Source organism: Homo sapiens, chromosome 12, assembly GCF_000001405.40.
Source record: "Homo sapiens chromosome 12, GRCh38.p14 Primary Assembly".
Taxonomy (NCBI): domain Eukaryota; kingdom Metazoa; phylum Chordata; class Mammalia; order Primates; family Hominidae; genus Homo; species Homo sapiens.
This window is the reverse complement of record NC_000012.12, coordinates 80,565,445-80,590,446: the sequence shown is the minus strand read 5'-3', so window position 1 is coordinate 80,590,446 and position 25,002 is coordinate 80,565,445. Positions and strand designations below refer to the sequence as shown.

Here is a 25,002-nt window from a genome sequence, read left to right as displayed (position 1 = left end):
ATCCACCCGCCTCAGCCTCTCAAAGTGCAGGGATTACAGGCATGAACCACTGCGCCCAGCCCATTGGATAGTTTTAAGCAAGAAAGTGACATCATCTGCTTTAGGTTGAAAAAGACCAGTCTGGCAGTGTAGGAGGCTAGTTAGGCTAGTGCTGTGGGAGCAGTAATGAAGAGTTGTACTAATGTAATAGTAATGCAAATGGAGGAATTTGTTTAGATGGTGTGGTTGAAATGAATCATGGGCAGGATTGAGGAGGAAAGGAACAGTGCCTGGATTTTCATTTGCTGCAAACAGATAAATAATGATATGAGAAGGTTTGGTATTTGATCATGTTAATATAGAGAAGTATATTCAACACACAAGCCCAGTGATTAGTTGATCAGGCAGATATTCTGATCTGGAGTTCTAGGCAGCATTCAGGACTGGAAATAGTATTTGAGAATAGTCAAGATGTAAGCAGACTTCAAAGCTATAGACCAGAATAAGAGCAATTAAGGTAAAATCTCCTTGGGGTTGTGTGCTGATAAAGAAGAGAAAAGGGCCAAGTACAGCTCTCTCATCTCTCCAATGCTTACAGTTAAAAAACAATTATTTGCTGAGAATAATTCAGCAAAGAGGACGGAGACGGAGCTACCAGGAAGGTAGGAGAAAAAACAGAAGGGTAGATCTTACAGAAACCAAGTGTCAAAGTGCCAGAAAGAGAAAAGGTTGGACAATTGTGTCAAAGTCTGAGTTGTCAGGATTCTACCTCAAATGTCAAATTATATTAACAAACATTTATTGAACATTTACTATTACAGACATTATGCCAGATACTCTGGGAAATTGTAACAGGAGACACAATTGGTGGCCTAGAAAATAAAGCCCTCTAGATCAAAGTGTATTTCACTATCTATAAGTACTAACATGGTATTTGTCACTGAAAATCTATGTGTGTGTGTGTAGGTATGTTACTATACTAATAAGTATCAAAAATGTTTAAGAATATGTAATTTGGATTTGAAAGGAATCCCCTTTAAAGAGTCTCAGTCAAGATAGGAAGATGATAACATAAGGCCTATATCTGAAGGATTTATATGGGATGGGTGGCCTGGCAAACCTGAAATTTGCTCTGGAGGGCTGGGGCAGAAATGGCATTTCAGAGAATGCAGCCATTTCCCAGAGCTCTGGCTTGCAGGACTTGATTTGCAACTTATTTATGTTGCATAGTAACCATCACAATTCTATGTAAACAGAGTTCAGGATAAGGAATATACATTTTTTACTTAATTATGGTTAATGATATTCTCCAAGCAAGCAGGGCAACCAGTTAGCTATAAACATAAAACCTAAGTTGCAAGAGCAATCTTTACCTATACATTTAGTGGTTTGTATGGAAAAGCACTTAAAGTCCTGAAAGATGTATAGATGGCAAAACAATTTCAAGTATTTGTGTTTCTTCTCTGTATTTTCTTCTTCCCATCTCAAGCTGGGAGTTGAATGCTTGATATTTCTTTGCCTCAGAATTTTGTGCAGTTGAAAAACACAAGCTGAAAAACGACTTGCAGACAGATCAATCAGGGTTATTGTGGTCACACGTGTGTGTGTGTAAGTTTGAAGTCACTGAAAAGGTTGTAAAGTTGGGCTTAAAAGCAACAGAACCTCTAAATATGAAGGAAAAATGTGGGCCTGGGTCAAGGGCATTAGATAATAATCAGTATGGTTTAATGGTAGCGCATCAGAGTAGCTTCCCACAATGCACTGTTGCAATATGAGACTCTAGGACCTTGGCACAACTTTGGGAGTTTGAGAAAAGCCCTAATAATGACTAACATTGAATTTCTCATTGGGTTTCAACTAAATTAAAACTAAATATGTCGTTATATATGGTAGTGTCCTCAGTTATTTCTATGTTCAGTGATTTTACACACAATTAGATTAAGTATAAAGCATAATATATAGACAGATACAGAATATAACAGAAATCAGTATGTACATGTCAGGACAATACTCACGGCCAGGCAGAGTTTTTGTAGAAATCCAGTTTGAAGCATTGCCATAGCCAGCATTGGTGCTGGCAGCCACTTGGAATCTATACCATCTAAATTTCTTTAATCCATATACTGTCTCTTCAGTTAAGTGAGCTTCATAGAGGTATTGAATTTTTTGATATTCAACACATTCTTCGGATTCCCATTCTTTGCATTTTTGAGCACGAAGTTGAGTGGTAATTTTGTAATTTTGAAAGTAGCCAAGGATAGTGTCAGGTCTTATCCATGTCAATGTTGCACTAGTTGACTGAACATCAGAAAAAGCAATATTTGTGGGAACACTGGGAACTAAAAATTAAAGGGAAAAATTAAAAGCAGTTACAATTACCAAACACTTCATAAAGAGAAGAAAGAATAGAATTCTATTATGGAGGAGCTAGTAGAGATCTGTCAAATTACTATAGCTCTTAGATTAATTATCCCCACACTTAATGAGAAGAACCTTAGAGTGATGCTTCCGGGACCATCATTTTAAAAGGGTAGAGGACAAAATAATTGTAATTTATTAATTCTTGATTTTGCTTCCAAATTCAATCATAAGTGGCTTATATAAACAAACTTTGGCTTCAAATAGAACTATTTCACTGTTACAAAGGAAAACTGTATGCTCATATCATCCTAAGTACTTCCCTAGGTATGGTTTGAGTTTGTAATATTCAGTTCCAAGGGAAGATACTTGTGTATTTAAATGTCTAAATAAACACAAACACATCTTATATCTAGTAAATGTTGATTATAAAACAATTTTAAATAAACAATATTACTGACAGTTTTAATGTATATAATTCATCTATTTTTTTTTATTTTATCTCATGTATATTTAGAATTAACATGTAGTCCTGCTTGGAGTCATTTATTTGCTTCCACACTAACTACAGGTTTGCCAAATGCATACCATGTGTCAGGCTCTGAGCCTGGTGTTAGGGATTCAGGATACAATAAAGCTCATGTCCTGTTTTCAAGAGACAGTTTATTGGGCAAGTAATATACACATGTTATGGTTAGAAATAAGAAAGAGCAATCAATTAAGTGATATTGGAACTCTTCTTAACCATGCCTTTCTTTGTATATCTTCAACGGCCTTTGTTAAGAAGATGGAGATAAAGAGAATCAAAATGATGACATGTGAAAATTACATAATGCGAACTGTATATTAATATTCACATTTTAAAATAAGAAAATTAATAAATATTTAGAAAGCTCATTGATCTCTAAAGATATATTAATTCAACATTCAATAAATATCTAAGAGCATCTAATATGTACAGGTAGGATTATAGGTGCTGAAAATACAATGAACAAAACAGACAAAAATTCCTGCCCCTGAAAATTTACATTCAGGGGAGCTGTAAACAATAAAAGTATCAATAAGTATTGTACATAGTCACCTTTTGTATCCACAGGGTACTGGCTCCCAGACCTTCCACGGAGAACAAAATCAGAAGACGTTCAAATTCCTTATATAAAATGGTGTAGTATCTGCATATAAACTACACACATCTTCTCATATAATTCAAATAATCTCTAGGTTATTTACAATACCTAACACAATGTAAATGCTCTATAAATAGCTGTTGTACTGTTTAGAGATTAATGCCAAGAAATAAAAGTCTGGGCATGTGGGGTACAGACACATTTTGGTTTTGTATATTTTCCAGCTGTAGTTGATTGAATCCACGGATGCAGAACACATGGATTTGGAGGGCCAACTGTAGTGTTTTGGATGATGATCAGAGTTGCGGAGAAAAAGAAGAATGAGAAGAAGGAGAGTTTCAGGGATATTGAAAATTTAAATTAGGTAATCAGAGAAGGGATTAGAAGATACTAAATTCCTTTATAGCAGCATGATTTATAGTCCTTTGGGTATATACCCAGTAATGGGATGGCTGGGTCAAATGGTATTTCCAGTTCTAGATCCCTGAGGAATCGCCACACTGACTTCCACAATGGTTGAACTAGTTTACAGTCCCACCAACAGTGTAAAAGTGTTCCTATTTCTCCACATCCTCTCCAGCACCTGTTGTTTCCTGACTTTTTAATGATTGCCATTCTAACTGGTGTGAGATGGTATCTCATTGTGGTTTTGATTTGCATTTCTCTGATGGCCAGTGATGATGAGCATTTTTTCATGTGTCTTTTGGCTGCATAAATGTCTTCTTTTGAGAAGTGTCTGTTCATGTCCTTCGCCCACTTTTTGATGGGGTTGTTTGTTTTTTTCTTGTGTGTTTATTGCGGCATTATTCACGATAGCAAAGACTTGGAACCAACCCAAATGTCCAACAATGATAGACTGGATTAAGAAAATGTGGCACATATACACCATGGAATACTATGCATCCATAAAAAATGATGAGTTCATGTCCTTTGTAGGGACATGGGTGAAATTGGAAATCATCATTCTCAGTAAACTATCGCAAGAACAAAAAAACCAAACACCACATATTCTCACTCATAGGTGGGAATTGAACAATGAGATCACATGGACACAGGAAGGGGAACATCACACTCTGGGGACTGTTGTGGGGTGGGGGGAGGGGGGAGGGATAGCATTGGGAGATATACCTAATGCTAGATGACGAGTTAGTGGGTGCAGCGCACCAGCATGGCACATGTATACATATGTAACTAACCTGCACAATGTGCACATGTACCCTAAAACTTAAAGTATAATAATAAAAAAAAAAAGAAAAAGAAGATACTAAATTCCATATGTAGGTAGGGGACCTAGCCATGTCAATATTTCAGAAAGAGAAATTTGAAGCAGAGGAAACTGTATAGTTGGAGGCATGCCTGGTATATTTGGAGAATAACAAGAAGGACTGAGTGACTGGTACAAGCTACCAGTACATGACACTAGAGGACATTGTCATGGCTTTCATTTGAGCAGAGAAGTGGCAGGCTCTCTCTTTCACAGAATCACTCTAGCTACTGTGTTGAGAACAGACTAAAGGGTAACAAGGCTGGAGAGTAATTAGCAGGCAACTGCAATGTCAACACAAGAGATCACAGTGGCCTGGTCCAAGGTGGTAGTGGCAGAAGTGAAGAGAAACATTCAGCTCCTGAATATAATGTGAAGGAGAGCTGGCAGGGTTTGCTGATGTGTGGTATGTGAAATATCAGAGAAAGAGAGGAATAAAAAATGCCCTAAGGTTTATGGATTGAGCAAATAAAAAGATGAAGTCACTATTAATCAAGATGTGGGTGACCGTAAGAGGGGTAAGCTTTGGGGAGGAAGATTAACAATTTCTTTTGAGTAGGTTAACTTTGAAATTCCTCTCAGACACCCAGAAGGAGAAATCAAATACTAGATAGAAGCTTGAGTCTGGATTCTGTAGAGAGAGGTCTGGACTTCAGTTAAAATTTTGGATTTCATCTTAAATTTTTATCGAATTATTTACAGATCTATTGCTTATTTACTATATATATATATATATTTACCAAAACTGGCACACTATTTACAACACATTCTGTTTTATCTTTACCTATCATGAAGAAAAGCAATTAGAGAAAACACTATCTTTAGGGAAAAAAAATGTAAATTTATAGAGGAAGAAGTTTTAGAATTTTCATAATTTTTTCAAATGCCTCAGTCACTAAATTTGAACTCAGATCATCTGAACATAAGATACATTTTCAAAATATTCTAATATAAATCAGATGTATTTGATTGACGTGGGTGTTCAGAAAATGTTTTTAGAGAAGAGATGGCACATGAGATGGAATTTCACTGATTGTAAAAGTGGAGATCATGGAAGAGAGGGTGATGTGAGCTAAGACAAGTTTAATTGCAGCTTGTAATTCATGTCGGCAATAACAAACAGCAAGACTGCACAATAGCTTGGGGACTTACTGTGTCAGAGGAAACTATAGATAGCTTGTCAGGCAATTGAAAGCTATAAAAAATGTCACAGTATGTCCAGAGGTACATTTTATCAACTACAGTCTGGTAATTGCAAAACAGGAAAAGGGAGAAATTCAGAGACTACTTGATTTGTCCAGGAAAGACGAAATTAGGTGATAGCAACAGTACAGAAGTCAGTTTTTAAGATATATTTTGGCGACTGAATCCATAAGAACAGGCAAATAAATGAGAAAAATCACGTAATCTCAGAATTTGAAATTGAGAGATCATCTTGGTCATCTTGTCTCTTTGTCTGACCTTTGTGTCTGCAGATATCCCTCAAGATTCCCGGTCCCTGTACAAAAACAGATTCTTCCACTTACTCAACCAAACACTGATCTAGGTACAGATGGAAAGCTATGTTGCTGCTGTAACTAAGAATCTTAATCAGTTTACTTTAAAATAGAGAGCTATCCAGTGGACCTGACCTTATAACCTGAGCCCTCTAAAAGGAGGATAGTATTTTTGGCCGTTTTCAGAAAAGGAAGTCAAAGCTTTAAAGAGATGGATTCAACGTACAAAAATTTCTCTATTGTTGGCTCTCAAGAAGGAGGGAGCTGCATGATAAGGAACACAGAACATCTTTGGGAGCTGAGAGAAGCCCTTAGCTAAAAGCCAGCCAGGGAAGGGGCTCTCAATCCTGTGACTGCAAGGAACTAAATTCTACCACAACCACGTGAACCTGAAAGAGGACCCTGAGTTACACAAGAAAATGTTGACTGACAAGTTGACTTCAGCTTGTGAGAATAAGTAGAAAACCTAGGCACAACACGCCTGGACTTCTGACCTATAGAACTATGAGCTAATAAATGGGTATTGTTTTAAGCCACTAAGTTTGTGATAATTTGTTACACAGCAATAGAAGACCAATACAAACCTCCCCCTACAAAATGAGCAATCACTACTTACCCAGCCTCTGCTTACATACATAGAGCAAGGGAAACTCAACATCTCAAGGGTAGTTTATTTTAAAATTCATTTTCAGATAGCTCTATTAGTTTGTATAGCCTGCATTATTTTGAACTGATATTTACTTTCCTATAAATCTCAGCTCTGCACTGAAAACCCACTCCAAAGAGGCCTAATCTACTTTCACCTCCACATCACCCCAACATTATATATAAAAGATTCAAAAAGATTTTGCTTCCGCATCCATCTCAATAAAAATATTGAAAAAAATCACTCAAAAATAGATGTTTATTTGTAGGTTATAAACACATAAAATGTCAATGTACATAACAGATTTTCTCTCTCAGAGTCTAGACTACTGAATGAAACAAAATGGTGATTCAATAAATGTTTTTTGAATGTGTGAGCAAATGAATCGAGGGTATAACAGGGGACTTTATTTGGCTTTCCTGGTGAAGGATAATTTAATTAGAGACCTGAAGGATAAGAAGAAGCTTCACAGATAAAAAATATCAGGATGTGTGAAGGTGTTAAGACCCTGAAGAAGAAGAGTGTCACACATTGAAAACACTTAATGAAGGCTGCTGGGTCTACAAGGAGATGAATGGGAAGGGGCGAAGTAGGCAATGTAAGTGGAATCACATTAAACTGAGTCCTTAAACCAAATATATGACTTTTAGCTTTATCTGAAGCACAGTGATATACTTGAAAAGTTTTTTTTGTTTTGTTTTTGTTTTTGTTTTTGTTTTGTTTTGACAAGGTCTCACTCTGTTGCACAGGCTGGAGTGCAGCCTTCCCTTTCTTTTCATCTAACCTCATATCCGACTCTCTTCTTCCTCCCAGTCCCTTCTCTCACTTCCAAAGAATATATCTAGAGTGACTGTCTTAGTTTGGCTGCTGTAGCAAGTTACTATAGACTGAGTGATTTACAAACAACAGAAATTTATTTCTCAACGTTCTGGAACTGAAAGTCAGATGAGGGTGCCAGCATGGCAGGTTTCTGGTGAGAACCAGCCTCCTGGTTCCAGACTGCTGGCTTCTTATTGTGTCCTTGTATAGCAGAAAGAGGGCAAAAGAGCTCTCTGCATTCTTTTTATAAGGGCATTAATCCCATTCATGAGGGTTCTACCCTAATGACCTAATTACCTCTGAAAGGCCTCACCTTCTAATAGCATCACACAGGGAGTTAGGACTACAACATATGATTCTAGGGGGGAAATAAACATTCACTCCATTGCAGCAAATTATTTGTTATACAGACAGGTCACTTTTGAGAGTAAAAGGCAATGTCTATTGGATGAAATGCCAGCACAGCAAGCATAAACCCAGACTGCCCTGGAAACTGGGATTTAGGGTCACTATATATATGCTTTGGATATATTTTGCCTTTTTCTTCAGTGTTTGGAGTTGTATGGAGTAAGCACATTGAAATGGATATATCGAATTTGATTTTACCAGCCTCTATGAAATGATATTAAGCTGTGTCCAATATTTGCAGTAAACAAGCTGTAATGTACAAGCCTATGCTTTCATATTCCACACATATGTGTGAGTAAATCTGTAGGATAATCGTTGCTAGGTAAAACATATGCATATTTGTAGCATTGGTAGACATTGCTAAATCACACTCCAGAAAGGTTTTACCAATACCTACTCCTGTCAACATGCATGAGAATGCCTGTTCCCCAAGCCAACAGAGTATGCAATAAAAGTTTCAGAGGGAAAAAATTCTGTTTCAGTGTGAAGCTTATTGCACTTCTCTCTCTTTAATTTCCTTTTTCATAAACTATCATTTGTATTTTTTCTACTTTTTTTTCTATTGGGTGTATGGCTTTGCTATTTATTTATTTAAGCCTTTAATATAACCTTTTTGTGATCCTTGATGAAGATATATTTTCCAAATCTGTTATTTGTCTTTTTATTTTGCTGATGATCGTTTTTATTATGTGGAAATTTTTACTTTTTTTTTCTTGAGACAGAGTCTTACTCTGTTGCTGAGGCTGGAATGCAGTGGCACAATCATGGCTCATTGCAGCCTCAACCTCCCAGGCTCATATGACCCTCCCAACCCAGTCTCTCGGGTAGCTGGAATCACAGGCGTGTGCCATCACACCCAACTAATTTCGTACTTTTTGTAGAGATGGAGTTGCGCCATGTTACCCAGGCTGGTCTTGAACTCCTGGGCTCAACTGATCTGCCCACCTCAGCCTCCCAAAGTGCTAGGATCACAAGCATGCGCCATGGCACCTGGCCTTGAAAATTTTTATATTGACTTTTGTTTTCATTAAAATCTTACACTCTACTCTTTCCTCATAAGAATCAGTGTACAAATGCTTTCCTTCTTTTATTTATTCTTTTTTAGATCTACTACCAGTTACCTTTCCCATGTTTCAATTTTCTCTCCCTAGAGTTTGCTAAACCACTGGAAATGAGAGGGAAATATTCACTAGCTAATGAACTAGAGAAGGCAGAAGAGGCTGCCCTTTGCTAATCCCATCTGGAGGGATGACTAGATGCCCATGCCTCTATGATCAACTATTTTTTCCTCCAATGTTCAGATTTTAGGATAGCTGGTGTTTGTTACTAGCAAATTTTGCTACACAGTAAAAATTTTCAGCAGATCAATATTCGTTCACAGACTCTAGTATTCTCCAATTAAGCTTTCAGAGAAGAAAAGGTCTTAAAAAGAAAAACCACTAAATCCAGGCAAGAGTTATTTGTAACCTGGCTATAGGAAACATAATGACAATTTCAGCCTCCTATTATGTGACAGGCACAGTGATGGGACACTGGAACATACTGGCACTCATAAGTGTTTGTTGACTGTGGAAATAAATGATGGTTCATTGAAACAGCCTTTTGTTTTCATGTGGTACAAAATCTAGTCCACATTTTCACTCAAATGTATTTAGAAAGATAAACCAAAAATGAATCTGATCTGAGGTGAAATATATGGTATAACTTGTAGACAATTTTTTAAACAAGGCTACCTCAGAAGTATTCATAAGTGACCAGCAGTAACCCTCATTTATATCCAGTATCTTCTCTTTGATGAACTGTGTGCTGAACTAGACTATTTCAAGGCAACTGCCCTATTGAATTACAGATAGAAAAAGGATTACACTCATTTCAGCATGGAGAATCAGATTTCCATTCTTTAAGAATGACTAAAAACCTCAAACTTTTTCTATCCACAGATGGTACTAATTTGAACACATCATTCCATGCTTCCTGGAGTAATCACACAGCTTGCTTAGATTTTCTAAACATGACTGAACTGTGATGAAGCGATCAACATTAACTGCCAAGGTATTCACTAAATTACATTTTTATTCATAAATTATTCTTATCACTAAAATACTTTCATCATGGTTGAAATTAGGGTCTGTAGATCTAAATAAGCAAGAATTTGTTATAGGTTTAAATGCATGAGAGTTTTTACTGACCAGTAAATTCTACTTAGAAGATGAATACATGTATAAAATGTAATTATTCTATAAACTTCTGAATATCAGTTATTAGAAATTGCCAAACTCTCCTGATAGGATTGTGAAGGTAGTTTTGTATTGACTTCTCATTGACCTGGATAAGTACACTAAGTTGGATGACCAAGTTTAAATTGTTTATTTATGACTATATATTTTTATTTTTCAGGAACAGATGTACTCTCTTTTAAGCAAAACAGATGTCTGAAAAGTTATATTTGTGAATTATATTTATAAAACATACAAAATTATCAACCCAATCTTCCCAAGTTTAAGAATATTTTTGTCTCTAGAAATTTTAAATAATCTACTATCCTTTTAGAAACACAACATACAGATAGATAATTTAAACATACACAAAGTAAAATTTGCTAACATTAATATAGTATGGATCAATACAAAAATGGAAATACCTTCAAAGTTAAGTTCAAAGCATATTTCAGCATACCAGCTACAAATTTTGCACTAGCTTGAATTTAATCAATAGCATTTATTGAACATTCACATTGAATGATGTGGGCAGGATACAAGTCAATGTATAAGAACCTTTTCATACATAGATGAAAAATATTTTAGTTAATAGAAATAACTACAAAGAGGTAAATGCAACAGGACAGAGAAGAAGATCTGGGAGCTCTAATTTGAAGGAACAACTGAGGATTAGTAAAGATGTGAAAGAAAAAGGATTCAGTGGGTTGAGTACGGGGAGAGATACATAAGTGGCAACAAAATGTTTGTCAAGGGCTGGGAAAAATCTTAGGCTGAAGGAAAATAGTGTAAGGCAGTCATAAGAAAAAAGTGTGGGGGATTATCAGGTTTGGTGTTATTGAAAGGCAGTGAAAGTTTGAAAGCAGTTTAGGTGACTACAGTAGGTGACAGAGAAACAACAGACAGAGATTAATTAGTGACATATAAACTTAAAAGTCTGAGCCTTCATATCACTTGTTATTAGGAATAGGCAAGTTTGATAAAAACTTGTTCGATATTTTACATATAAAGCACAACATAGATTACAATGATCTGGTAGGTTAAAAATAATTAGGAGTAGAGCTAAAGAAAAATGTAAAGAAATATTGACAGGATGTGATGGTATATTGAGCACAGAGAAAATAGGGGTAAAACAAATGGAATGAACCCAGGAATTAGATTAACTGACAAAATACACACTGTAGACTTCCTAGAAGTAAATTATAAATTTGGCTCTTTATAACAAATAAATAAAATAAAGGGAAAAGCAAGATAGTAAATCTTTGTTATCGCAAATAAAGATAAATTAAATGAACAAAAATACAATAATCTCTGATACTGAAACCAAAGATACATTTCTTCTGAAAAAACCCATAAAGAGGGTACCATAATTTAATAAGCAATGTCCTCGACAACATCCATACACAGTAAATACTAAGTATGTTTAATTTTTCCCATTCTTGGCCGGGTGCGGTGGCTCAGGCCTGTAATCCCAGCACTTTGGGAGGCCAAGGCGGGCGGATCACGAGGTCACGAGATCCAGACCATCCTGGCTAACACGGTGGAACCTCGTCTCTACTAAAAATACAACAAAAAATTAGCCGGGCGTAGTGGCAGGCGCCTGCAGCCCCAGCTACTCAGGAGGCTGAGGCAGGAGAATGGCATGAACCCGGGAGGCGGAGCTTGCAGTGAGCCCAGATCGCGCCACTGCACTCCAGCCCGGGCGACAGAGTGAGACTCCATCTCATAAAAAATAAATAAATAAATAAAAATAAAAATTTTTTCCCATTCTGATTTTTTGGGATGGGAAAAAAAATTTATTTTAAAAACCAAACACCCCATGTTCTCACTCATAGGTGGGAACTGAACAATGAGAACACATGGACACAGGAAGCGGAACGTCACACACCGGGGCCTGTTGTGGGGTGGGGGGAGGGGGGAGGGATAGCATTAGGAGATATACCTAATGCTAAATGACAAGTTAATGGGTGCAGCACACCAACATGGCACATGTATACATATGTAACAAACCTGCACGTTGTGCACATGTACCCTAAAACTTAAAGTATAATAAAAAATAAAAATTAAAAAAATCCAAAAAAAAAAATTTCCCATTCTTACAACGTCACTCTGAGTACGTAGGTGGAATAATTCTCAAATATGTTTTATTAAAACTATGTCTTCAGAGATTGTAAGTATACCGTTCATGTGCAACTCTCTCTGGTAGCCTGGCTTAATCCAGAGAAATTTTGGAGTATTTATCAAGTTATGAAACACAAACAGGATTTTGAGTGCTACTACAAAGCTGAGAATATGGACTGACCCATTCATACTAATGTGCCAAATTAGTCTTATAAATGTATTCAATGTGCATGAAATAGGAGTAAGATATTTTAAAATTGTTTTGTATCTGTTCCCATGCATGTATAGTTGGACAATTGGGGCCCCAAATATAAACCATGGCTATAATTTTAGTCTTAAAATTACATACTGTGAAACACTTACCTTTAAAAAATTTCTCAATAAAACTTCCAAAGAAAAAGTCATTTTTTAGGGATCGTTACAAGGAAAGCTAGTTATACATATAGTTATACATATTCTGTTTGGAGGCCAATATGGTTTGGCTGTGTCCCCACCCAAATCTCATCTTGAATTGTAGTTCCCATAATCCCCATATGTCATGGGAGGGACCAGGAAGAGATAATTGAATCATGGGTGTGGTTTCCCCCATCCTGTTCTCATGATAGTGAGTTAGGTCTCACAAGATCTGATAGTTTTATAAGGGGCTCGCCCCTTCAATGGGCACTCATACTTTTCCTTGCTGCTGCCATGTGAAGAAGGAGGTGTTTGGTTCCCTTTTTGCCATGACTGTAAGTTTCCTGAGGCCTCCCCAGTCATGCTGAACTGTGAGTCACTTAAACTTCTTTCCATTATAAATTGCCCAGTCTTAGCTATTTCTTCATAGCAGTGTGAGAACAGACTAATACAAAGGCAAAATGAGCTGGCTTGATTTATAAATTCATTAGTTTTGACAGCTGCATGCAGTAAGTCATCTCATGAGAATATTTATCAAAAATGACAACTTTGATTTTACATAGTTTATCTGAAACAGTTCTTAGAAGACTAATTAGAAAGCCAACTTAATTATCTATTGAGACCACTCCTATAACACCTGGAGACTAAATTGAACCATTGAGAGTGACGAAGAAATTAGAAAGACATACTGGCTTGTGGAGATTTACCCAAGAATGAGTATGAGGAAATAAAATGTTAGCTTCATATCTTGTTAGCAGGATAAACAGAGTTATCACAGGAGAGGTTTGTGTTAGCATAATGGGTCACGTAAAGGAATTTGGGAGAATTCCTGTATCTATAAGTAATTGAAATCATGAGAGTAAATGAACATTTGAAAGGAGTACTCATATTATCAAAACACCAGAGATGAAGAATTGAGTCTATATCAATAGTTAATGTACAGTGAAGTAGAATAGGAAAAAAAAAAAGGTCAGAAGAAACAGATAAGCATATAATGCCTGGCACACATTGATATTTAATAAGTACTTGCTTAGCAAAAATGTGAATCAGTGAACAAATCAACAGACGGATAGATGAATGGATGGATGGACAGATTTCAAAAATACAAGTTCCACCAAATGTTGAATATAATTGAATGTTATTTAAAATATCTTTTTTTTTTTCTTCTAAAAACTGGCTCGCCAGGCATGGGGGCTCACGCCTATAATCCCAACACTTTGGGAGGCAGGGCAGGAAGATCACCTGAGGTCAGGAATTTGAGACTAGCCTAGCCAACATGGTGAAACCCCATCTTTACTAAAAATATAAAAATTAGCTGGGTGTGATGGCACGTGCCTATAGTCCCAGCTACTCAGGAGGCTGAGGCAGGAGAATCTCTTGAACCCAGTAGGTGGAGGTTGCAGTGAGCCGAGATTGTGCCACTGCACTCCCCAGCCTAGGCAACAGAGCAAGACTCCGTCTCAAAAAGAAAAAAAAACCTGTGGCTGTAAAGAAAAACTTTATTGATTAAAATATACACAAGGAGTTCTGACTGTAAGCTTTGGGAAAATATCCATAAGAAAGAATAAAGAAAGAATTGGGATTGTTCAGGAGCCCATATGAGAAAGCGAGAGAGAAGGAAGAGATGGAAGGAGAAACAATGAGAACAAAGGCTCAAAGGATGGTGTGAGGTTGGGGACATGGGCCTCAGTGGTATAAAGCAACCAACAGAAAACTCTCTGATTGCCAAAAGATTTTCTTTTCTTTTTCTTTTTCTTTTTTCTTTTTTTTTTTTTTTTTTGAGATGGGGTTTCGCTCTTGTTGCCCAGGCTGGAGTGCAATGGCATGATCTTGGCTCACTGCAACCTCTGCCTCCTGATTTCAACCAATTGTCCCACCTCACCCTCCTGAGCAGCTGGGATTACAGGCATGTGCCACCACACCTGACTAATTTTGTATTTTTAGTAGAGACAGGGTTTCACCATGTTGGCCAGGCTGGTCTCGAAATCCTGACCTGGAGATCTGCCCACCCTGGCCTCCCAAAGTGCTGGGATTACAGGGATGAGGGTGCCATTTTGTTGCCCAGGCTGGAGTGCAGTGGTACCTTCATAGCTCAGTGTAACCTTAAACATCTGGGCTTAAGCAATCCTCCACCTCAGCCTCCTGAGTAGGTGGAACTACAGGCACACACCACCACTCTAGGCTAATTTTTTTTTTTGTACTAACGGGATCTCGCTACATTGCCAAGGCTGTTCTCAAACTCCTAGGCTCAAAAGATCCTCCCACCTCAGCCTTCCAAAGCTCTGTGATTACAGGTGTGAGCCACCACACTTGGATCAAAAGATTTTTAGAACAAAAATGTCTAATAATCAATTTAAAGCCATATATATTATTGCAATGTAAACTCCTCTTCTATCTACCCATCACCAAGTGACATTAAGGCTATTATACACTAAAGTGTTCAGTGTGACTAGATATTTTAATAAAAACCTTGAAAGGAGCTCAGATTCATATTTTGGGCAAAAATTTTGCAAAAGCAGCTAAGAATTTAAAACAAAATATTCCAACTTGAGGAACTCTGATCTGGTGATAACTTATATCAAACTATTCTGCAGATAACATGTATGAACTTGGAAAAGGAAAAAAAACGCAGCTATTGGCTTGAGGTGTCAGAGAATAAAGTATGAGGCTGCTAAAGTAGTTGGAAACAGAGGAGTTAGATCCAAAGTTTGGGACTAAACTCCCCTTAAATCCTTGCCTAATATTTTAATTATATGTACATGACGGAGAATCCAAGGAGCTCAGTAGAAAGACAGCTGAAAAACCGAGTGTGCATGCACACATACACACGTATATTAATATATATAGCTGACACGTATAACAACCTGACATCTATAAAAGTAAGTACAAAAAATATAACAATAACAGCAGAAACTACAGGGAAGTACATGGGAATACTTCTGCAAAATTCATGTATTTTATTTCCAGTTACATAAATTAAGTAGATATAAGTCAAGTATTCATATTGCAGTCCCTTGAGAAGCCACGAAAAATAATAATACAAAGAAACATAGCTAAAAGTCAAATAGAAGAATTAAAATATAATGCTAAAAATATATAGTTAACCCAGTAGAAGGCAAGAAAGAAAGCAAGAACAGAGGAACTAAAAATGAGATAGGACATATAGAAAACAAAGAAAAAATAGTACATCCAAAGTCAAGTAAATTAATACTAAGTTTAAATCTAAATGAAGTAAATACTCCATTTAAAAGTCAGAGGTTGTCAGACAAGATTAAAGACCTGATTATAGGTTGTTCACAAGAGACGTACTTTGTTGTCCACCAGCCACAGTTTAAATACAATACAAATAATTCACAAGTAAGAATAGAAAAAGATATATGATGCAAACCACGAATAAAAGAACATGTGTTATATTAATAACAGACAAAAAAGCCTTAATACAAGAAGTGTCCCCAAAGATAAAAGGGATAGTTTATAATGATCAAAGGATCAGTTAATTAGGAAAATATAACAATCACAATACGCATGTTTTTGGTAAAAACTTTTTTTTTAACTGAAACTACATGAAGCAAACCTGGACAGAACTGAAAGAAAAAAACCCACAATCGTAGTTAAATATTTTATCATTTCCTTCTCAATAACTGTTAGAACGATTAGGCGGAAAAGTGATAATGATACAGACATTTTGCAAAACACTATTAACCACATGGAACTAATACATAGAACCTTATGGCAAAATATTTAGAAGCAAGAAAATCATAATGATCAGAAATCGATGTAATGGAAAGCACAAAAACAATAGAGAACATTAATTAATATAAAAGTTGGTTATTTGGAAAAATTTATAAATTTCATAAACACTTATTAAGATGTATAAAAAGAAAGTAAACACAATTCACATCATGAATAAAATCAGGAATATCACTGCAGATTACAAAAAACCTTGAGCCAATATTTTCAACATTTTAAATAAAATGGTCAAGTTTCTTGGAAACATAACATATAAAATGATATAGAAATTCTGATGGGTTAATAGGTACAGCAAACCACCATGGCACATGTATACCTGTGTAACAAACCTGCACATTCTGTACATGTATCCCAGAACTTAAAATAATTTTTTTTTTTTTTAAGACGGAGTCTCACTCTGTGGCCCAGGCTGGAGTGCAGTGGCATGATCTCGGCTCACTGCAAGCTCCACCTCCCGGGTTCACGCCATTCTCCTGCCTCAGCCTCCCGAGTAGCTGGGACCACAGGCGCCCGCCACCATGCCCGGCTAATTTTTTCTATTTTTAGTAGAGACGGGGTTTCACTGTGTTAGCCAGGAAGGTCTCGATCTACTGACCTCGTGATCCGCCTGCCTTGGCCTCCCAAAGAGCTGGGATTACAGGCGTGAGCCACCGCGCCCGGCCCTAAAGTAAAATTTTTTAAAAAGAAAGTATGAGTAGTTCTATATTTATTAAAGAAGTCAAAGTAATACAAAATCTGCCACAATAGAAAACTCCAGGTTCAGATGGTTTCACTAGTGAATTCTATCAAATAGTTTAGGATGAAATAATAACTGTGAAAATAAAGGAGGAAAGAACATTCCCCAACTACTGATATTAGGGTAGTATAACTTTGATGTAAATATCTGAGAAAAAATGTTATAATAAAAGAAAATTATAGACCAATACCTATCCTGAACAAAAATACAACAATCTTAAGCAAAATGTTACTAAATCAAATCCAGCAATATATAGTAGAATAACACATCTGATCAAGTGTGTTTTATCCCAGGAATGTAAATATAATTTAACATTCAAAAATAAACCATGTAACTTATCACAGCAAGAGAATAAAAGAGAAAAAGCAAATTATTGCCTTAAATTCAGAATCAAGTGGCAAAATTTAACATCCATTCACAATAAATACTCATAGCAAACTATAAATGAAAGAATCTTCTTCAATTTAATAAGGGGTATCTACAGAAAGTCTACAGCCAATATCATATAAAATGATGAAAAACTAATCCTTCTCCCTGAAATTGGGAACAACACAAGGATATTGGCTTTTATCACCTCTGTTTAACACTGTACTGGAGAGTCAAGCCAGTGCTATAAGGCAAAACAAACAAACAATAAAGTCATGGAGTTAAGAAAGAAAGAAAGAGAGAAAAATACTTTTAATTTTAGAAGACACAATAATTTTAATATAGAATATTATTTAAATTTTTTTAACATTCCAGAACTAAGAAGTAAATTTAACAATGTCATAGGATACAATGTCAATATAAAAATTGATTGTGTTTCTGTATTTTGCATCAAACTAATGACTAAAATCAATTCTATTTAGAATAACATTAAAAAATTAAATACATGCAAATAATTTTAACAAAAGATATGCAAAATCCATTTACTTAAAACCACAAAACATTACTGAAATAAATAATTTTAAAAATGGAGAAATAATAACATATTCATTAGTAACTCATTGCTGAGATGTCAATTCTCCCCATGTATAGATGTATACATGCATGTATATAGATCTGATGCAATCCCAATGAAAATGCCATGGGCATTTTTGTAAAAATTAATAAGATCATTATAATTTAAAAGTTTATATGGACATGCAAAGACCAAAAATAGCCAGAAGAATTTTGAAAAAAGAACACATTTGTAGAACTTACACAAACTGATTTCAAGACTTATAATAAAGCTACAGTTATCAACACAGTGTGGTTTTATTACAATAACAGATAAATAAATCAATGGAATAAAATATATTCCAGAAATAAATTCAAGCACATAGGGTCAAGTGATTGACCTATATCAATTTATTATGACCTATGTTTATTTATTATAAATAAAAGTATCTTTAAAATAGTTATTAAATGTTTTGATAAATGTACAAAAAAAAACTTTGAATCACTTCTCATACTACACACCCAAAATTCAAGATGAATCAAAAATATAAATGTATAAGTTAAAACTATAACATTTCTAGAATAAAACCCAGGATATTATTTTCACAATATTTAATTAGGACACAAAATGTACTGACATGAGATTAAAAGTTGCTAATTTAGATTTCATCAAAATTAAACTCGTCTGATTATGCACAGGTGCCATTAAGAAAACAGAAAGTCAAGCTATTGACTGGAACATAATATTTGTTATACATATCTCTAATAAAGAATTGTAGGCTGGGTGTGGTGGCTCACACCTGTAATCCAGGTACTTTGGGAGTCCAAGGCTGGTAGATCATGAGGTCAGCAGTTCGAGACCAGCCTGACCAACAGGGTGAAACCCTGTCTCTACTAAAAATATAAAAATTAGCCAGGTGGCACATGCCTGTAATCCCAGCTACTCAGGAGGCTGAGGCAGGAGAATCACTTGAACCCGGGAGGCAGAGGTTGCAGTGAGCCAAGATCATGCCATTGCACCCCAGCCTGGGTGACAGAGTGAGACTCCATAATTTATAGATTCAGTGCTATCCCCCTTGAAGCTACCATTGACTTTCTTCACAGAATTAGAAAAAAACCACTTTAAATTTCATATGGAACCAAAAAAGAGCACATAGCAAAGACAATCCTTAGCAAAAAGAACAAAGCTGGAGGCATCATGGTACCTGGCTTCAAACTATATTACAAGGCTACAGTAACCAAAACAGCATGGTACTGGTACCAAACAGATATATAGACCAATGGAACAGAACAGAGGCCTCAGAAATAAAGCCACACATCTAAAACCATCTGATCTTTGACAAAAATGACAGAAACAAGCAATGGGGAAATGATTCCCTATTTAATAAATGGTGTTGGGAAAACTGGCTAGCCATATGCAGAAAACTGAAACTGGACCCCTTCCTTACACCTTATACAAAAATTAACTCAAGATGGATTAAAGACTTAAATGTAAAACCTAAAACCCTAAAAACCCTAGAAGAAAACCTTACACAATACCATTCAGGACATAGGCATGGGCAAAGACTTCATGACTAAAACACCAAAAGCAATGGCAACAGAAGCCAAAATTGACAAATGGGATACAATTAAACTAAAGAGCTTCTGCACAGCAAAAGAAAGTATCATCAGAGTGAACAGGCAAACTATAGAATGGGAGAAAATTTTTGCAATCTATCCACCTGACAAAAAGCTAGCACCCAGAATCTATAAGGAACTTAAACAAATTTACAAGAAAAAAAACAAACAACCCCATCAAAATGTGGGCAAAGGATATGAACAGACATTTATCAAAAGAAGACATTTATGGAGCCAACAAAAATATGAAAGAAAGCTCATCATCACTGGTCATTACAGAAATGCAAATCAAACTACAATGAGATACCATCTCAAGCCAGTTAGAATGGCAATTATTAAAAAGTCAGGAAACAACAGATGCTGGAGAGGATGTGGAGAAACAGGAACACTTTTATACTGTTCGTAGGAGTGTAAATTAGTTCAACCATTGTGGAAGACAGTGTGGTGATTCCTCAAGGATCTAGAACTAGAAATACCATTTGACCCAGCAATCCCATTACTGGGTATATACCCAAAGGATTATAAATCACTCTACTATAAAGACACATGCACATGTATGTTTAGTGCAGCACTATTCACAATAGCAAAGACTTGGAACCAACCCAAATGCACATCAATGATAGACTGGATAAAGAAAATGTGGCACATATACACCATGGAATACTACGCAGCCATAAAAAAGAATGAGTTCATGTCCTTTGCAGGGACATGGATGAAGCTGGAAACCATCATTCTCAGCAAACTAACACAGGAACAGAAAACCAAATATCGTGTGTTCTCATAAGTGGGAGCTGAACAATAAGAACACATGGACACAAGGAGGGGAATATCACACACTGGGGCCTGTCGGGGGTGGGGGGCTAGGGGATGGATAGCATTAGGAGGAGTACCTAATATAGATGACGGTTTGATGGCGGCAGCAAACCACCATGGCTTGCATATACCTATGTAAGAAACCTGCATGTTCTGTGCATGTATCCCAGAACTTAAATTAAAAAAAAAAAATCAAATTTTTTTTGTTTTGTTCTTTTTGTTTTGTTTTGTTTTTAATTTATTATTATTATACTGTAAGTTTTAGGGTACATGTGCACAATGTGCAGGTTAGTTACATATGTATACATGTGCCATGCTGGTGTGCTGCACCCACTAACTCGTCATCTAGCATTAGGTATATCTCCCAATGCTATCCCTCCCCCCTCCCCCCACCCCACAACAGTCCCCAACCCAAATGTCCAACAATGATAGACTGGATTAAGAAAATGGGCACATATACACCATGGAATACTATGCAGCCATAAAAAATGATGAGTTCACGTCCTTTGTAGGGACATGGATGAAATTGGAAATCATCATTCTCAGTAAACTATCGCAAGAACAAAAAACCAAACACCGCATATTCTCACTCATAGGTGGGAATTGAACAATGAGAACACAAATTTTTTAAAAAGTAAAAAAAAAAAAAAAAAAAAGAATTGTATCCAAAATGTATAAAGAACTCCTATAACTCAGTACTAAAAAGACAGACAATTCAGGAGAAAAATGCAGTAATGACTTGAACAGAAACTTCCCTAAAGGAGATAAGTCAGTCCTTTGCACATTCCAATGTGCTTGAATTTTTGTTACTATGGTTTAGTTAAGTAACACCTGTCTTCTCAAAACAGAGTTTGAATTTGTTACTATCATATATTGGGTATGAAAAATTTTATAATATGAAAACTTTGCTTCTAGCTCTTTCATCCATAAAATCATTACATAAATAACAGATGCACATTATAATCAGTGACATCACTTTGTTCAAAATCTGTCATTGATTGGTCATTGTGCATTTGTTCTTCAGTTTATGCACAGGGAGAAAATTGTGTAGTTATGTTGCCTCCTTGTCTCACAGCAATGAACTCGTGTGACACATATTGGCTAACAAAGATGGTAGCAGAGCAACAAAAGTGAGAGTGCTGGAAATGAAATTTGAATATAACATAAACGGAGTTTCAGAACAAAGAGCTGACCATGGGAATGTTAACACTGCTGTTCAAGAAACTTTACATATGCAGCCAAGACAACTTACTGAAGACAAATATGGACAGAAATTAAAGCAAGTGGTTCTGATGAATTCAATGAAGGATGATGTCTTGAAGGAAGTAAAAAACAGCAAAACAAAAATTTCACACCAAGAGAACTCTTGCTGATATTTGACAATATTGAAAGTGCAAAGGATAAAATATTGAAAACTGATCTAAACTTTGAAAGTGTATAACAATTAACTGAAACATAGAAAAGAGGCCCTCTCTGTAACATAAGCTGAACAATGAGAAAAAAAATTCTTGATAAGTTTTTATACAAAAAAATCTCTATGTTTCTAATGTTTTAAATTAGTATACTAAATAATTTTTTGTTTTCACATACATTTATAATTGACACTTGAAGTTTTGAATATTGTAACAAAATTTTTGAAGGTCACAGAACAATCATAATTTTCTACATTGATTATTAGGATTACTTTGCACAAATTCAGTTTCTATAATCATTTTTTAGTCCTATACTACTATGTAAAGCAAAGACTGCCTGTATATGAATGGCCAATAATCATATGAAAGTATCCAACATAATGAATCATCAGAAAAATGTGAATTAAAGTTACAATAAAATATATACTTTTTATGTCACCTCGCAGGGCTAATATTATAACACCAAATTCTGCTGAGAATGAAATGTAATTAGAACTCTCATTCGGTGCTGTTGGGTATGTATTTCATACAGTGCAACTACTTTAGAAAACCATCAGTTTCTTGAACAATTAAATATATACCTACTCTATGACCCTGTAATTACAGAAAAAAGATTTGTACAAAAACATCTAGAGCAGTTTCATTCCTAATAGAAACAATCCATATGTCCATCAAAAGAAAACAGACACACTAATAATAGTATATTCATGTGATGGAAAATGACTCAACACTAACAGAACAAATTAAAAAAACTGTAGCAACAGTTATGTTGAAACAGGCCACCTAGCATAAGAGAACACAGACAGCTTAAGAACAAGTGAAACTAATCTATGTTGATTGAAATCAGGGCAGCAGTTGCCTTCAAGAATGGGTGTAAAAGGGAACTTTCTATGGGGGATGGAAATGCTCTATATGGTGGATGAATGGTGGTTCCATGGGTGTATGCCCTTGTCAAAACTCATTGAATTGTACACAAGTTCTGTACATGTCACTGCATATACATTTCCCATAAGTAGAAAATATTAAAAGCATGAAAAAAGCTTTCCCATAAAAATGTACAAATAATACTCAAAACAAGTCACAGGTTATGCATGTATATAGAAATTAAAAGTACTAGACACTCATACTTTCTAGATAATATTTTGTAAATGTAGATTTTTAATAGAAAAACAATCATGGGCTTTACTATATTTCTCATACATCCATATTAGAAAGGAAGCCTTAGCAATGATTAGCCCAAGTATGTCACCAACTACTTTCAACTATTGTTTGGTACCTGTTTAATCTGCAGTCAAAGTTCCTAATAGTGCTTCTGAGTATGGCATCCTATTTAGCTTTTAAGGTGCACACACAACTTTTAACATGTTTTACACAGTTAACCATTTCTTTGATAACAACCTAAATACAAATTTTGCTTTAAATTTCAAGTCCAAAGTTTAAAAATGCTAGACCTCTCATGCACAACAAATATCATTAATGTAGTGTGTTTAAAAATTACAAAATGTGATCTTGATTTTTAAAAAATATTAAAGTAGGCCAGTCACAGTGTCTCATGCCTGTAATCGCAGCATTTTGTGAGGCCAAGGCAGGAGGATTGATTGAGTTCAGTGGTTTGAGACCAGCCTAGGCAACATAGTGAGATCTTGTCTCAATAAAAATTTTAAAAATTAGCCAGGTGTGGTGGCATGTGCCTGTAGTCCCAGCTACTCGGGAGACTGAGGCAGGATGATCGCTTGAGCCCAAAAGGTTAAAGCTGCAGTGAGCTGTGATGGTGCCACTGCATATCCAGCCTGTGTGACAGAGTGAGATCCTGTCTCAAAAAAATAAAAATGAAAACACAAAAGTAGCGTTATTTTAATTAGTAATGAACCTATTTGGCTATTAATTTTTTTTTTTGAGATGGAGTCTCGCTCTGTCCCCCAGGCTGGAGTGCACTGGTGCAATCTTGGCTCACTGCAACCTCCGCCTCCTGGGTTCAAGCAATTCTCCTGCCTCAGCCTCCCAAGTAGCTGGGACTACAGGCACCTGCCACCATGCCCGGCTAACTTTTGTATTTTTAGTAGAGACGGGGTTTTGCCATGCTGGCCAGGCTGATCTCGAACTCCTGACTTCAAGTGATCCACCTGCCTCGGCCTCCCAAAGTGCTGGGATTACAGGCATGAGCCACCATGCCTGGCTTGGGCTATTAATTTTTAATGTATCTTTTAATAAGTATAGATTTCATTATTGCAATTCATATGGAATAATATTTATTATATTTCTAATATAAGTTGCTTTTAAAATAGTAATTCTGCATAAAAAGGTATCTAGACATAGAAGCAATGGGTGATTTATTCAAGGTTGTAGTGAGTAGGTAGTGAAAATTCAAATTGCAATGATAACTTATTAATATACTAAAAAATGCTACTTTTACCTTATTTGAATTTTGAATGTGTTTAATCTCATAGTGGCTGCAACTTATGCGTGTCTTACATTTATAAAATAGCTCCCTCCTCAAACTTGTATTTTCATATGCCATGAAACTTGTAATATTTGAAATTCAGTAAGCTGAGGTTAGTAGTATTTTGTACAGTCTTCTATCTGTTCAAATCCTTTTCTTTGTATTTACATTGCATTGATTTTAAATTAGGTCTAAATTAATTTCTTAAATGCAACATTGAAGAAATTTTGCTATTATTAAAATTCATGTATTCTACATTTCTGAATGTTTACATCATTAGTAAAAGTTTTTCCATGACGTTTATAATCTCAGACAAACAACAGGCACATTCCTGAAGCTTTCACGTCATATGGTTACCAGAAAGAAAGAAGAGGGCTTTTGCATGCACACACATGCTTAATTTACTTAAAAAGGGAAGTAAAAGAGAATAAGAAAAAAAATAGGGGAGGAGGTTGATATGTAAAGGCTGTTATGAAAAGTATCAACTAC

General features: G+C 35.8%; 1 protein-coding gene and 1 long non-coding RNA gene across 2 annotated transcripts in view; one reads left to right on the top strand and one right to left on the bottom strand.

Annotated features, from left to right (window-relative positions):
• Positions 1 to 25,002, bottom strand: part of PTPRQ (protein tyrosine phosphatase receptor type Q) — a 236,039-nt gene that overhangs the window by 89,827 nt on the left and 121,210 nt on the right. Inside the window, exon 26 of the mRNA NM_001145026.2 lies at positions 1,995 to 2,318. Coding sequence (NP_001138498.1) covers positions 1,995 to 2,318 — 324 coding nt within the window. The remainder of the gene's footprint in view (positions 1 to 1,994; positions 2,319 to 25,002) is intronic.
• LOC105369867 (uncharacterized) overlaps positions 1 to 25,002 on the top strand; it is a 176,665-nt gene that overhangs the window by 116,792 nt on the left and 34,871 nt on the right. The window contains exon 2 of the long non-coding RNA XR_007063388.1: positions 10,038 to 10,149. This is a non-coding gene — a long non-coding RNA (uncharacterized LOC105369867). The remainder of the gene's footprint in view (positions 1 to 10,037; positions 10,150 to 25,002) is intronic.